The sequence below is a fragment of the Homo sapiens genome, chromosome 18 (assembly GCF_000001405.40).
Source record: "Homo sapiens chromosome 18, GRCh38.p14 Primary Assembly".
NCBI classification, from domain to species: domain Eukaryota; kingdom Metazoa; phylum Chordata; class Mammalia; order Primates; family Hominidae; genus Homo; species Homo sapiens.
The window spans coordinates 70,276,813-70,278,265 of record NC_000018.10 but is presented as its reverse complement, the minus strand read 5'-3'; the positions used below and the strand labels follow the sequence as shown (position 1 = coordinate 70,278,265).

Sequence of the window (1,453 nt, the reverse complement as noted above, 5' to 3'; positions counted from 1 at the left end):
GGATTACAGGCATGTGCCACCATGCCCGGCTAATTTTTGTATTTTAGTAGAGACGGGGTTTCACCATGTTGGCCAGGCTGGTTCCAAACTCCTGACCTCAAATGATTTGCCCCTCTCGACTTCCCAAAGTGCTAGGATTATAGGCGTGAGCCACCATGCCCGGCCCTTTTTCTTTATTTGCTTTAAATCAGGTGAAATACAGCCCAGAGCTTTTATCTTACTGGCTTGGCAGAAACATTCAACACTTAACTATTATTGAAAATGGGGTTTGAGCCGGGCATGGTGGCTCATGGCTATAATCCCAGCACTTTGGGAGGCCGAGGCGGGTGGATCACGAGGTCAGAAGTTTGAGACCAGCCTGGCCAACATGGTGAAACCCCATCTCTACTAAAAATACAAAAATTAGCTAGGCGTGGTGGCGGGCGCCTGTAATCCCAGCTACTTTCTGGAGGCTGAGGCAGGAGAATCACTTGAACCTGGGAGGTGGAGGTTGCAGTGAGCTGAGATCGCGCCATCACACTCCAGCCTGGGCAACAAGAGCGAAACTCCATCTCAAAAAAAAAAAAGAAAATGGGGTTTGTTTTACTTCTCTAGGTTTACACATGAATCTGCTAATGTGATTCCTGCAGACCCAGGGCCTTCTCATCTTCCTCTCCTTGTGGTTCCCCTGACATCCTATTAATCAGGTCTAAGTGGTCCCTAAAGAGCAGGCTTGGAGGTGGGATTCTTTGCTGTGTTGGGAGCTTGAGGTCCAGCCCACTCTTTTCTTGCCTTTTGAAGCGTTGCACTTGTCTTTAGTCATTTCTGTCAGAACTGGGATTCAAACCCACACCTGCATTCAGAGACCAGAAGCCATTTCTGCTTTTGACTCTCTCTGTTTGTGATGCCAGAGGAGAGAGGGAAATTTTCCCGCAGGGAAGGTTCTAACTGGCTGACTTGAATAATAAATGTCGTCAGGGAAATGCGGTTCTCTGGCTGACCAGGCTGGGTCCTGTGTCCACGCATGTCTGTGGAATTAGGCATGGAGCGGTCCACTTAAACTCTAGGGAATGAGTTTCCCATAAGGTAAAGATGGCAGTGGCACAGGGCAAGCCAAAAAAAAAAAAAAAAAAAGGAAGCCAGTCACAGTTAAATAAAACCGGAGCTGGGCAGGAGTTAATGCTGTGAGTGCAGATTTTATTCAGGAACTATTGCAATAGTGGAAAGAGACCTCAGTATAGAACCAGGCTCAATTCTAAATACAGCATGGACAAGTGGTCATTTATAGCCAAAAAGCAGGGTGGGGTCAGTGGTTGGAAAAGTACTGAGAGGAAACATCAGACGTAAGGGGGATTCTGGCTAAACCAACTTGACAGGATTCTTGCTGAAGGCGGGCCAGGCTGATCAGACATCACCTGGGGGATGGTGGGGATAAGGAATTTGACCAGATATTCAGGATGAATGTCGTTTGTAA

The 1,453-nt window shown here is 47.4% G+C and overlaps 1 annotated feature.

Moving 5' to 3' along the window:
- Positions 752-1,252: an enhancer, noted in NCBI's record as "H3K27ac hESC enhancer chr18:67944250-67944750 (GRCh37/hg19 assembly coordinates)". NCBI's record gives its function as "activates a minimal SCP1, AML or CMV promoter by ChIP-STARR-seq in naive H9 embryonic stem cells {active_cell/tissue: H9 hESC(naive)}" and the evidence as "EXISTENCE:reporter gene assay evidence [ECO:0000049][PMID:30033119]".